The sequence below is a fragment of the Homo sapiens genome, chromosome 9, assembly GCF_000001405.40.
Source record: "Homo sapiens chromosome 9, GRCh38.p14 Primary Assembly".
Lineage (NCBI taxonomy): Eukaryota > Metazoa > Chordata > Mammalia > Primates > Hominidae > Homo > Homo sapiens.
This window is the reverse complement of record NC_000009.12, coordinates 66,090,974-66,105,514: the sequence shown is the minus strand read 5'-3', so window position 1 is coordinate 66,105,514 and position 14,541 is coordinate 66,090,974. Positions and strand designations below refer to the sequence as shown.

Below are 14,541 nucleotides of genomic sequence, written 5' to 3'. Positions count from 1 at the left end.
GGTCAGGAGTTCAAGACCAGTCTGACCAACATAGTGAAACCCCGTCTCTACTAAGAATACAAAAAATTAGCTGGGTGTGGTAGCACATGCCTGTAATCCTAGCTACTTGGGAGGCTGAGGCAGGAGAATCGCTTGAATCCAGGAGGTGGAGGTTGTGGTGAGCCGAGATCATGCCACTGCACTCCAACCTGGGTGACAGTGGGAGACTCCATCTCAAAACAAAAAACAAAAACAAAACAAAAAACCAGAAAAGGATAGGGCTGAAGAACAGAGGTCACTGCATTTAGAAAGGAAGTGGGGTCAGAGGAGCAGAGGGAGCATTTGGTCACTGCTCTGCTGAGTAAAGCAGGATAAAGTCCTTCATGACCGTTGGACTTTTTTATTGGAATTATTAAAAATCAGATTTCAGTATAAAAAACACAATAATTGATGAAAAAAGATTTCTGAATGAAACCATGTGTCATAGAGTCCAATGGAAGGGGAGAAACAGGATAATAGAAAAGCCACAAAAAGTAGACGAAAGTTGTTTTTGTTTATTGTAGAAAAAATAAACTTTATTTAAAGAGAAATGGTTAAGAGAAAGGGAAAAACTGAAACCTATGGGTGAATACTTAGAATGACAGTATTTAGCTCAGCCTGAAGACAGATGAGGATGAAAAATGTAATGGGAACTAGATAAGAGTTTTCTAAAATTTGTCTTAGTAAGATGTAATTTAAGAGAACTTGGAATATCTTAAACTGTTAAAAACAATATTTCTAGAGCATCTTTAAAAACTAAAATGTAAATATAACTACTCTTTTTTTTTTTAACTAACCCTTAGTATTTTGTGTGTAAAAACCCTCATTTGTAACAAACATTGTTGGCAGTTTAAATTTCAGAAAAGATAATGATGAAAATTTGAATCATTTTTAGCAGTTTTAAGAAAAGTGACTATTATTGAAATCTGACCTTATTGGCATCAGGTTTATAAAATGCACTTTATACACCTGCATAAATACGTATTACTAATCCACTTATGAGAAATAATATTTTTGAGATAAAAGAGGGTCTCCAGATTTTACAAAAATAATTTTAAACACTTTTTTTAAGCCTAAAAAAGAAAATGAAGAATTAAGAAAACTTTTTGAGTTAATATCATCACTGAAGTATAATGTGAATCGAATAAGAAAGAAAAATGATGAATTAGAAGAAGAGGCAACTGGGTATGGTTTTCATATTGTAGAACATGTTAGCCATTTATTAATTGATTTAACTCTAATTTTACTTGACTAAAACCTAGATACAAATTCATTTTATGTTTGCATTTTCATAATTAAATGAATTCTGTTTTAAAATGTATTTCAGAAACTCACAGCACAACTTTTTAGACGTGTGTCATGGGGGTGGGAGTCAGCTGAGCTGCTGGGGCAAGGTGAAATTTTTTTTGAATGCCAAAATATTCTTTTTTTTTTTTTTTTTTTTTTTTTTTGAGAAAAAGTCTGGCTTTGTTTCCCAGACTGGAGTACAATGGCGCGGTCTTGGCTCACTGCAACCTATGCCTCCAAGCAATTTTCCTGCCTCAGCCTCCTGAGTAGCTGGCATTACAGGCATGTGCCACCACACCCGGCTAATTTTTGTATTTTTATTAGAGACGGGGTTTTGCCAAGTTGGTCAGGCTGGTCTCGAATTCCTGACCTCGTGATCTGCCCGCCTCGGCCTCCCAAAGTGACATGAGCCACCATGCCCAGCCACTTATTCTTTAATGATTTTGAAAACAATGACCACGCCTTGGACATTTAATGTCCAGTGCACTCTTCATTATCTGGTTTGAATTTTTATTTCTGAAGATATTTTTTTGCTGTCTGTGGTCATTTTTTCTTCCTTTTGTAGTATCCTCTGCTGCATTCAAATTGTTTAAAGAAGACCTGTTTGTGTCATTCTTTAACATCAAATTTATCTTGATATGTAGCTTATATTTTGTTTCTGCTTTTTCTTTTAGATATAAAACGTGGAAATTTACTCATTGTACATGAGTACCTCTGTTGTATACATGAAGTATACATGTTATTAAACTTGTTTTACATAAATAAATTTCATATATATAAAAATATACGTATAACTTAAAGAAAAAGTAAAATGAACATTCATGTTTTGATCACAGATTTTTTTTAAAACAATGGAATCTGTCTTTGAAGCCCTGAACACAGCTACTTTTCTATTTATTTACTGAGCACTTAATTTGGTTTTCTGATTAGAATCAACATTTTTCTGTCATTGCTTTTCTCTACATGGTTTTGTATCTCTTTCATTTTGTTGACATTATGTCAGCAAAGATGTCTAGATCTCTTCTTCAAAGTCTTTAAATCGTCACACATCTCTCTGCCCCTTTCCTTTTTTCTAAAACTGCCTGTATCCTTTTTCTCCTCAACTCAGATATTAAAGATGTTTTCTTCTCTTTTTCTACATTGAATGATCTCCTTGATGCTTTTTGTGTGTACTTTTTTTTCTTCTGATAGACTGTGGTCAGTGGGTATCAAAATGTACTTTTGTGTCTTTTTAAATGTATGTGTTTTACTTTTTTATCTTGGTTACTCATCTCTGGGTTATGGCTTATATTTAGTAATACGTTATTTTACTTAGCATACCAACATGGATATCAGTAGTTTATTTACAAAAAGTGTATGGTTAGGCCAGGTGTGGTGGCTCACACCTGTAATCCCAGCACTTTGGGAGGCCAATGTGGGTGGATCATTTGAGGTCAAGAGTTCAAGACCAGTCTGACCAGTGAAACCCCGTCTCTACTAAAAATACAAAATGAGCCAGGCGTGGTGGTACACACCTGTAATCCCAGCCACTTGGGAGGCTGAGACAGGTGAATCACTTGAGTCCAGGAGGCAGAGGTTGCAGTGAGCTGAGACCACACCACTGCACTTTGGCCTGGGCAACAAGAGTGAAATTCCATCTCAAAACAAAACAAAAAACAAAACAAAAACACTGTATGGCTATAATATCACTTTACCTGCCATATATGCCATAAAATTGTTCTTCATATTATTTATCTAAGATTATAATTTCATATAGAATGCTTTCAAACTATGTTCAGTTGAAACTGAAAGTAACATAGTTTATAGATTTGTTTCTTTGATATGCCATAACAGATGTTTAAACAATTATTAAATATTTACTCTTAAAAATACTTGACTTACTAATTCTGTACATTTCTGCAGATATAAGAAACTCCTGGAAATGACAATAAATATGTTAAATGTATTTGGAAATGAAGACTTTGATTGCCATGGAGACTTAAAAACAGATCAACTGAAAATGGATATTCTGATTAAGAAGCTAAAACAGAAGGTAATTTAAAAAAATTATTTTATCTTAAGGTCTAGATTACATGTGTGAGACGTGCAGGTTTGTTATATAGGTAAACGTGTGTCATGTTGGTTTGCTGCACCTATCAATCCATCACCTAGATATTAAGCCCTGCAGGCATTAGCTATTGATCTTGATGCTCTCCCTCCTGATCCTAACAGGCCCCAGTGTTTGTTGTTCCCCTCCCCGAGTCCATGTGTTCTCATCATTCAGCTCCCACTTCTAAGTGAGAAGATGCAGTGTTTGTTTTTTTCTTCCTGCATTAGTTTGCTGAAGATATCAGCTTTGAGCTCATCCATATCCCTGCAAAAAGCATGATCTCATTCATTTTTATGGCTCCATAGTATTCCATGATGTATATGTACCACATTTTCTTTATCCCGTCTATCACTGATGGACATCTGGGTTGATTCCATGGCTTTACTGTTGTGAATAGTGCTGCAATGAACATACAAATGCATGTATCTTTATAATAGAATAATTTATATTCCAACGTATGGTAATTTTAAATCAGTTTTGGTATTAAAAATCATGTAATTTTGGAAAATATTGATAATGGAAAAACCCAAATTCTGCCAAAATATGTTGAGAAAATAGAGGGTAAATATATCTTTTCAGACTTTGAATGCCTCAGGCTCTTAGTTAATCTTCCCCAGATCTGGGAAGACCTAGAAGGGGAGAGATTGGGCTACATTAATGAGGACCATTTCAATCTCTTGGCCCTGCAGCAGCCATTTCAAAATATGACAAAAAATATATTTTGGGGTAAAATATTTTGATTTCCTTCAGCTTCTTCTCTCTGTGATGCTGCACCAGAATCAGGTTAGAAAGGAAGCCACATTATAAGAGTTAATAAAACCCATCTGATGAGATTTGATAGTTTGAAGGGTGTGATTCCCAGACCCTTTAGATAGAAATTGGGGCCAAGGAAAACAAGGTCTTATTCCTCAATATAAATCTGTCAGTGCTTTAAGCAGTGAAAGATTTTTCATTTAATTTTACAGACTTGAAACTAATGAAAAGGATAGCTTTTAAAATATCAATCTCTTTTTCTATGAAAAGGACATGCTGTTGATTCTCTTAGGCCTTGAACCCTGGCCAGTGATCTGAAACCAAGCAGTACCTGTCTCCAGATCACTACTACCAAAATCACTAGTACCAAATTAATTTGGGGTGGGGGGTAACAGGTTTATTGAGAAATAATGAACACACCATGCAATTCACTCATTTAAAATATACAATTTATTAACTTCAGTATTTTCAGAGAGTTATGCAGTCATCATTACAATCAATTGTAGAACATTTTCATCACCCTAAAAGCAAACCCCACATCATTTAGCTATCTTCACTAGTTTTCCCTTCCTCCCTCAGCCCTAGGTAACCACCCACCTTCTTTGTATAGATTTGCCTATAAGCCTCTGAAATGAAAAGCAAGTGGTCTACTGTGACTGGCTTATTTCACTTAGCATAATTTTCCATGCTGCATCTGTGTTGCAGCAGGTATTGATGCAGGGTTTTTGCTCCTTAGTTCAGCTCAATCTGGTTTCTTCTCTCATGACCAGGAAAAATTAAGCACACAGACACATTGAAGGGTGAGGAGGACAGAATTTATTAAGTGAAAGGAAAGCTCTCAGCAAAGAGGGGCGTCCTGCAAACAGGTTTCCACCTCACAATTGAATACCAGGAGCACAGGAGCTGAAGCGGCCAGGCTCCTGCTCTGCATAAGGCGTGAATTCCTGGTGACTCCACCCCATCCCCCCAGTGCTTGTGGGCCTCGGGTCTGCTGCCGGCATGTCCAGGCAAGACAAGTCCAGGTTCCCTTATCTGCACATAACGTCTGGTGTAAACACTTGTGAGGCTTGTTGGGGATTCTCCGGGGACCCTTCCTTATCTGCCTAGGCATTTTGCTGTCTCCTCCTAATACAGTATCAGTACTTAGTTTCTTCTTATTGCTGAGTGATATTCCATTGTATGGATACATCAAACAGTTTATTTATCCATTCACCAGGTGATGGACCTTTGGGTTCTTTCCCACCCAAAGGTGATGGACATTTTGGTTCTTTCCACTTTTCACTCTTATTAATAATGCTGCTGTAAACATTTACGTATGAGTTTTTGTGCTTGCATATGTTTTTGATTTTCTGGAGTATATACTCATGACTGGAATTTCTGGGTCATATGGTAACTTCATGCTTAACCTTTTGAGGAGCTGCCAGTTTGTTTTCCAAAGTGGCTGCACCACTTTACATCCCCAGCAGCATTGGATAAGGGCTTTAATTTCTTTACATTTTTCCTAACACTTATTTTCTCTTTTTTATTGAATAAAGGTTTCATCCTGTGGTGTGAAGTGATACCACACGTGGTTTTGATTTACTTTTTCCTAATGACTAATTACATTAAGCATCTATTAATGTGCTTATTATCCATCTTTATATCTTCTTTGCAAATATATCTATTCAAAATCTTTGCCCATTTTTTAAATTGGGTTATCTTGTTATTTATGAATTGCAAAGGTTCTTTATATATCCTACATATGTAAGTCCCTTATCAGATACATGCTTTTCAAATACTTTCTTCTACTCAGTATCTTACCTTTTCACTTCTTGATACTGTCTTCTCAAGCACAGCAGTTTTCAATTTTGAAGTTCATTGAATCCATTTTTCCTTTGGAGTCATAGCTAAGAAAACACTGCCAAATGCAGTCACAAAGATTTATGCCAGGGTTTTCTTCGTACTTTATTTATTTTTTGCATGTGGATATCCAGTTGTCGCAGCACCATTTGTTGAAAAGACTATTCTTTTCCCATTCTGTTCTTTTGTTAACCTTGTATAAAATCAATTGACTGTAAATGTGCAGGTTTATTTGTAGATTATCAATTCTTAGTTTGTTTATATCTATTCTTATGCCAAGGCCAAATTGAATTTAATGAGAAGATTTTTTCAAGCATGTTGCATATTACCAGTTGTCTTATATCATAATAAAAATTAAATTTAGTGGAATATCTTTAACTTCACCTTTTGTGCCTCAAAGGAATCTCTGGCCAGCTTATACCTTACTTACTCTAAGACATGATGGCAAGTCAGGCTTACAAGACACTCTTTCTTTTTTTCTCTATTCAAACCTTTAGTCTCTTTTCCATTGCCTCCCTCTATAGTTATATTTTCAGTAAGTTTTCATCACAGGATCTGCTGATGTAGTCTAATATTTAGTGTATTATGTTTTGCTAACTCATTATAATTCATAGAATCTTCCATAGATGTTTACCATCCAGGAAGGAGAAGTCTGAGCTGCCAGCTTTCCTCAGTGGAAATCATGTGAAGTCATCATGTTGTAGTTCGCAGATCCTCTTTCCACCTGGTAGCTGGTTCTCTTGGGTAGCTCTGCATCTAATCCTTTACTTGGTGCAGATCTTGCATTCTCAGAAACCACAGTTCCCTGTATTGACCTCCTTTTACTGAAACAGAGATGCACAGCTCTGCTTTCTAGCTCAGTAGAGGATTCTTGGGATATAAAGTTTAACTCATTCCAAGAAAAAGTCTTAGGAGTGCAGCACTTCAAAATCAGGTAATGTTCAGGCAATTTATCAGAGACAAATAGTAGATTAGTATTTTGACTTTTGAAATTTCGGAGCCAAGTTGTGTGCTGTAGAGAAGCATTGTGGTATAATACAGAGATGGGATGGTCTTAACTTCTCCATACAAACAAGCTTGAAGTAAGATAAAGGAGAAATTGCATTTGATGTCTTAACACTCAAAGCATATTGTGCTTATTTTACTTCTGTGAAGACTAAAAATCATTCCATAATGTTCTCCTTATTTCCTCATTGAGAAAAGGAAAATGAAAATTGAATACTAGATTGATTAATAAATACTCAAAGCTTATTCTTTTAGAATTTTCATTAACTGAAATCAGGCAAATGTCTGATTTTGGTTATCTAACCAAGTATTTCTAGTTGTTTTTCAAATCATACTTCTTCTTTCTTTGCAGTCTTATTTCCTAACTTGAGGGGAAATTGTAAGGAGACACCCTTGCCTTGTTATCAGAGTTCATAATTGAAGGGGGTTTTAGGAAATGTTCCTCCTCAGCAGCTTATGTCTCTCTCCTGGTTATCTACTGCTTCTCAATAATGTTTGCCATCAATAAATTAATCTCAACATTTATTAGATCCTACTTTAAAGGAGACTCTTTTCTCTGCATAAGTTATGTTTCCTGTTGTCTCTTTTTAAAACTTATTTTTCTAACAATTATCCAGGTTTTTGTGGCTTAAAAGAAAAACATTTATTTTGTTCATGAACCTATGGTTTGAAAAAAGCTTAGCCAGGACAGGTCATCTCTGCTCCCCTCAGCTTCCCTAGGAATAGCTGATCAGTTGGGGAAATGGAATCCTCTGAAGCTTTGCTCACCCATGTGTTTGATGGTTGATGCTGGCCATTGGCTGGAACCTTGGTTGGAGCAGGCAGCATGAATATTGACACTGACACTCCCAGGCTGTCTCTCTGGCCTGATCTCACTCACAATCTGGGGGCTGAGTTCAAAGGGAAAGCAGTCTGAGATAGGGAAGCCACATGATATCCCTTTTACTGCATTCTATTCATTAGAAGGAAGTCAGTAAGGATTGCCCATATTCTGTTTTTTTAATGGGATAAATATAGCTTCTCTTTTGTTTTAATTGACATGTATATACATAATTTTGGCCAATAGAGTGATATTTTGATACATGTATATAGTGTGTAATGATCGAGCTAACTAGCACATTTACTACTTCAACCATTTTTCATTTTTTGAATTGTGAACATTCAAAATCTTCTGCCTTTTTAAAAATATACAATAAATCATAGTTAACCATATTCACCCTACAATGCCACAGAACACCAGAACTCATTCCTCTTATCTAACTGTAATTCGGTATCCATTAACCATCCTCCCCTCCCCTACCTCTGTGAGCTTTTTTGTTGTTGTTAAGAGACAGGGCCTTGCTAGTCCAGTCTGGGCTCTGGGCATCTGTAGTCACCCAGACTAGAGACAGTGGCTTGATCATAGCTCACTGCAGCCTCAAACTCTTGGGCTCATGTGATCCTCTGACCTCACCCTCCTGAGCAGCTAGGATTATGGGCATGCACCATTGCACCTGTCTGATTTTTGACTTTGTAGAGCTATCTACCTATGTTGTCCAGGGTGCTCTGGAACTTTGGCCTCAAGTGATTCTCCTGCCTTGGTCTTTCAAAGTGCTAGGAAATTACAGGCAATAGCCATGTTGCCCAGCCCTCAGTTTTTCTTTAGCTCCCACATATGAGTGAGAATGTGCAGTGTTTATCTTTCTGTGTCTGCACTTAACATACCATCCCTCAGACTGATCCACATGGCCACGAATAACAGGATTGAATTCCTTTATACGGTGAATAGTATTCTACTGTGTTTGTGTGCCACAGTTTTTTGTCCATTCATTTGGTTATGGACATGCAGGTTGATTCCATACATCAGCTATTGTGAATAGTGCTACAATAAACATACGAGTACAGGTATCTTTTTGATCTATTGTTTTCTTTTCTATTGCCTGAATACCCAATAGTGGGTTTGCCGGATCCCTTGGCAGTCCCATTATTAGCTTTTTGAGAAAACCTCATGTTGTTTTCTATAGTGGCTGCACTAATTTACCTTCCCACCAACAGCATGTTAGAGTTTACTGTTCTCTGGAACCTCACCAGCATATGTTATTTTTTTGTCTTTTCAATGATAGCAATTTATTCAAATTGAAGCAAGATTGTATCACATTGAAGATTTGATTTTTATTTCCCTGAGGATTAGTGATACTGAGCGTTTTTAAATTTATTTATTGGCTATTTGTATTTCTTTTTTCTAAAGAAAAGTATAGTTAGATATTTTGCCCAATTTTGAACCCAGATTTTTTTTTACTGTCAAGTTTTTTGAGTTTCTTGTATATTTTGGATACTAGTCCCTTATTAGATGAATAGTTGACAATATTTTCTCCCATTCCACTGGTTTTCTCTTCACTCAGTTTGCTGGGCAGAAGCTCTTTATCTTAATGTAATACCATTTGTCTATCATTTGGTTTTTGCCTATGCTTCTGATGTCTTACCCATAAAAATCTTTGTGCAGACTAATGTCCTCAAGCATTTTTCCTCCATTTACTTAGAGTGGTTTCATAATTTTAGGCCTTAAATGTCAGTCTTCAATCAATTCTGAGTTTATTTCATTATGTGCTGTTACATAGGAAGCTAGTATCATTCTTCTCCATATGGATATTTAGTTTTCCCAGTGCCATTCATTTGAAGAGACTGTCCTTCCCCCAGTGTATGTTCTTGGCACCTTTGTCCAAAATCAGTTGGCTGTAAATATGTGGATTTATTTCTGGGTGTGTATTCTATGGCCTTTACCCCAAGAATCATTACTTCGTAAAATGCAATTCAAATTAGCATGAAACATTTGCAGTTTAAGGAAAGGCTTATGGCATCAGAATCCTTATTTACAGGATTCATTATTTTGTGTTTTTTTGAGATATGGTCTTTGTCTGTCATCCAGGCAGAAGTGCGGTGATGTGGTCATAATTCACTGCAGCCCTGAACTCTGGGTACAAGCCATCCTTTTGCCTCAGTCTCCCAACTAGCTGGGTCTAGAGGCATGAGCCACCATGCCAAGCTAATTTAAAAAAAAAATTTTGTAGACATGGGGGTCTCACTATGTTGCTCTGGCTGATCTCAAATTCTGGCCTCAAGTGATCATTCTGGCACAGGCTTTTAAATTGCTACAATTACAGGAATGAGCCACCATGCCTAGTATAGAGTGTTATATTATTTTCAAAGTCTTATTCTGAGAGCCATTTATTGACTTTGGCCTAAATAACTCAATATGATATCTCTGAAACTTTTTTTTGACATATTATGGGGAATGATAATGAGGGAAGGTGGTTAGACACTTTTTACTAAGAGATAACTTAGTGCCATCTAAGGAGGAACAAAAATGAATTATCAGAAAAATAAAAGTAAGATGAAGTGCAAAAATTCTGTGGCAAAGATGATGATAGCAAATAATATATTTTTGTGACTCATGGTAGCTTTAACTTTGTTCTTAAAATTCTGAGTAATTTAAGGGTTCACATTTGAAGAATCCACTGCATTACGGATAACATTTTATTGCAAGTAAATGCATTTCAAAATTTGCTATTGGTTTTGTATTAGATTATTCTCAGCCTACTTCATTATCAAGCTATATTATTTTATTCATGCAGTTTGATGATCTTACGGCAGAGAAGGAAGCTTTATCTTCAAAATGTGTCAATTTGGCTAAAGACAATCAAGTTCTTCAACAGGAGTTTTTATCTATGAAAAAAGTACAACAGCAATGTGAGAAACTTGAGGAGGATAAAAAGATGTTGAAAGAAGAAATATTAAATCTTAAGACACATATGGAAAACAATAGGGTAGAACTTAGTAAACTACAAGAATATAAATTGGAGCTAGATGAAAAGGCAGTGCAGGCAGTAGAAAAATTAGAAGAAATCCATTTACAGGTTAGTTTTTTAAATCAGGTAAGTTTATCTGTAATGTGCTTTCATTTATTTCACCGCAAATTATATTTTGGATATGTATATATTATGTTTCCTCTGCCTCTCTTGTAGCAATTTGCTTTGTAGAGTTCTAGAAAAAAAATGGCATCTGTTTTTTCTTTTAAATATTTACATTTCCATTATTATTATAACAAAATCAATCTTTCAGAGTAATGATTCTCACTGTGGAGTCATTTGATGATTAAGATCAGTTGGCATAAGAAACAATTGTGATTTCAAAATTATGTGATACTTTTGAATTGGTCTTAAGCTACATTGTTCATTAATCACTTTTTAAAATTATGAATGGATTCTATTACTTTTTATATGACCAGATTACATTAATACTAACATAATTATGATTTCAAATTTTTATAAATCAGACAATTCTGAATTCAGTTATTAGTTTTGAACTTGCTGATAAATATTTTAAGCTTCAGCCTCTTTTACTAACATATTCACAATTGCTCTTTGAATCACTGACTCAAAATGAAAGGCAACAAACATATAATAATTAGGTTATAATTGTTTTAAAAGTGTATTCTTTTCCTTTGTTTTAGGAACAAGCACAATATGAAAAACAATTAGAGCAGTTAAACAAGGATAATATGGCTTCACTAAATAAAAAGGAACTCACACTTAAAGATGTGGAATGTAAATTCTCAGAAATGAAAACTGCTTATGAAGAGGTTACAACCGAATTAGAAGAATATAAGGAAGCCTTTGCAGCAGCATTGAAAGCTAACAATTCCATGTCAAAAAAATTAACAAAGTAAGTCAAAACATACACTCATAGAAAATGAATTAAGCTCATTAATTTGTTTTGAAAGCATAATTTTTAGTGAGATGGCTTCAGGAGATTAGTAGGAAGTGAATGCTAATCTAATAATGTAATTTCAGAAAATAATGTTAGTAAATAATCTTACCTTTAAAATGTTAGTCAAGGATAGTTTCTGTCCCATTTCTTTCTCTCTCTCTCTCTTTTTTTTTTTGCTTTTGTATGGCTTTTTTCCCCTGAAAAGTCTCATGTAGTTAACCTGATCTGTTAGTTTTTGTCACTAAGTACTTTCGAAGCTTTATAATTAATAATGTGATCTTGTTATAAAATTGCTTGTCAGAATTTTCCTAAATAGAAATATTAATGAGTTTAATTTATTTTTTGGTAGATCACAACCTAAACCCAAAGTTTCAAGTGGTACTGCTACTCCGGGCACAATCATTTTTGATTGTGATCTTTAGTATTATCACTAGAGCGTGCCTCAAGAAAGACTATTTGTGTAACATTTTCAAGATGTTACAGAAAGGCATCCTTGTGAAATAGGGAATAATTATCAAGGAATTTAAAGAAGTGTAATTCACAAAGTGGTTAAAACATAACTAGAAATACCATTTGACCCAGCAATCCCATTACTGGGTGTATACCCAAAGGATTATAAACCATGCTGCTATAAAGACACATGCACACGTATGTTTATTGCAGCACTATTCACAATAGCAAAGACTTGGAAGCAACACAAATATCCAACAATGATAGACTGGATTAAGGAAATGTCGCACATATACACCATGGAATACTATGCAGCCATAACAAATAATGAGTTCATGTCCTTTGTAGGGACATGGATGGAGCTGGAAACCATCATTCTCAGCAAACTATCGCAAGGACAAAAAACCAAACACTGTATGTTCTCACTCATAGGTGGGAATTGAACAATGAGAACACATGGACACAGGAAGGGGGGAACATCACACACCGGGGCCTGTCGTGGGGTGGGGGGATGGGGGAGGGATAACATTTGGAGATATACCTAATGTTAAATGATGAGTTACTGGGTGCAGCACACCAACATGGCACAGGTATACATATGTAACTAACCTGCACGTTGTGCACATGTACCCTAAAACTTAAAGTATAAAAAAAAAAAAACTTGTTCAGCCTGAAGGGGTGTGTGGAAGGCAGAAGGAAAAAGCCCCACCTCCAGTGCCTTGGTCACAGTGCTGGGCGCTAATTGCCTTCAGACATGCTTTAGTTCTTTTTGATCACCAACCAGCCAATCTAGTTCTCCCCCAGGAGTTGTTGTTCTGAATTATTCCTCAGTGCCAAATGCTTAATTGTTCCTAGATAATGGGTGAAATGCACAAGGGTGAAACCTAAAATTTGTTTGCTAAACACAAGTATTCCTAAATTTTTTTGTTGTTGTTCATTTTAGTTTTCTTAACCTACATTAAGGAGTACAACATGATGTTTTGATACAATTATTTCTAGTGAAGTGGTTCTTATAATCAAGCAAATCAACATATTCTTTTCTCACATTGTTACCCTTTAAATATGAGTATTTCTAATGGAATCTTCAGAATCTCACAAGTAGAGCCCTTTTAGAAGGCAGCAAGTGTTACCTGTCAAGCCATATATCACTGATAGCCATTTCTCTTCCCTGTCTACTTTGTTTGTACTGCTTGTTCAGTATAAATCACCTTAGAAACACAGGTGCTTCTTTAGAATGATTTTAAAATTATACTTGCTTACAACAGGTATGCTCTCACACATCTTCAGTGTGAAAACACTGTTTAGTGGATAATTTGGTTTGCTCTCAGGGCAAGTTTTTAAAAACTGCAAGTCATTAAGAATCATTAGAGGAAAAATGAAATACTAAGCGTGTGTCTTTGCTATCTTTACAGATCAAATAAGAAAATAGCAGTGATCAGCATGAAGCTCCTTATGGAGAAAGAGCAGATGAAATATTTTCTCAGTGCTCTTCCTACAAGGCGAGACCCAGAGTCACCTTGTGTTGAAAATCTTACTAGTATAGGACTCAACAGAAAATATATTCCCCAAACACCCATAAGAATTCCTATTTCAAGCCCACAGACTTCAAATAACTGCAAGAACTCCTAGACTGTGGTTAGTTACATGACCATTTCTCTTTTGGGTTTCATTTCTCTAATATAATTCTTGTTTTTAATTTGGTGAAATACTGAATTCTGTTGACTTATGCATGTTTTGTAAAGATCATAATTAGCTGTGTTAACACAGAAAGGAAATGGGAACTTTACATTTTTTAATTCCCTGGAGCTCTCATTTTCAAGAGATACCCGTTTACTAACTTTATTCCATAAATGTGACTAAACTGACACATTTAAAATGTCTTTAAAAGCTGCATTTAAGTTAGGTTTTAGAAATTGCATATTATTGCCTGATAACTGATGATATAGTTTGAGATGCTTTGGCTTACTCTCTAATTGATTATAGTTTAGCTGTGGTTCATACTGCCCCCCCTTTTTTTTAAATTGAGACAGTGTTTCACTCTATTGCCCAGGCTGGAGTGTTGTGGCACCATCTTGGCTCACTGCAACCTCCACCTCCCAGGTTCAAGCGATTTTCCTGCCTCAGCCTCCCAAGTAGCTGAGACTACAGGCACCTGCCATTACACCCAGCTAATGTTTGTATTTTTAGTAGAGACAGGGTTTCACCATATTGGCCAGGCTGTTCTCAAACTCCTGACCTTGTGATCTGCCTGCCTCAGCCTCCCAAAGTGCTGGGATAACAGGCATGAGCTACCACGTCCAGCCCATGTCACTTTTAAAGTTTCTTTGCACCAGCCAGGTGTGGTGGCTCATGTC

The 14,541-nt window shown here is 35.9% G+C and overlaps 1 pseudogene across 3 annotated transcripts in view; it reads left to right on the top strand.

The window, feature by feature from the left end:
* Nucleotides 1-11,569, top strand: part of ANKRD20A3P (ankyrin repeat domain 20 family member A3, pseudogene) — a 59,242-nt pseudogene extending 47,673 nt beyond the window's left edge. For 2 of the 3 annotated variants that reach the window (XR_001746296.3, XR_001746295.3), the window contains exons 17-18: nucleotides 3,208-3,337; nucleotides 11,481-11,569. The product of XR_001746296.3 is annotated as an ankyrin repeat domain 20 family member A3, pseudogene, transcript variant X2 (transcript). Of the gene's footprint in view, nucleotides 1-1,090; nucleotides 1,208-3,207; nucleotides 3,338-11,480 lie in introns of those variants that run through there. The other variant, XR_007061553.1, reaches the window with a different exon arrangement.
* Nucleotides 11,570-14,541: the final 2,972 nt, after the last annotated feature.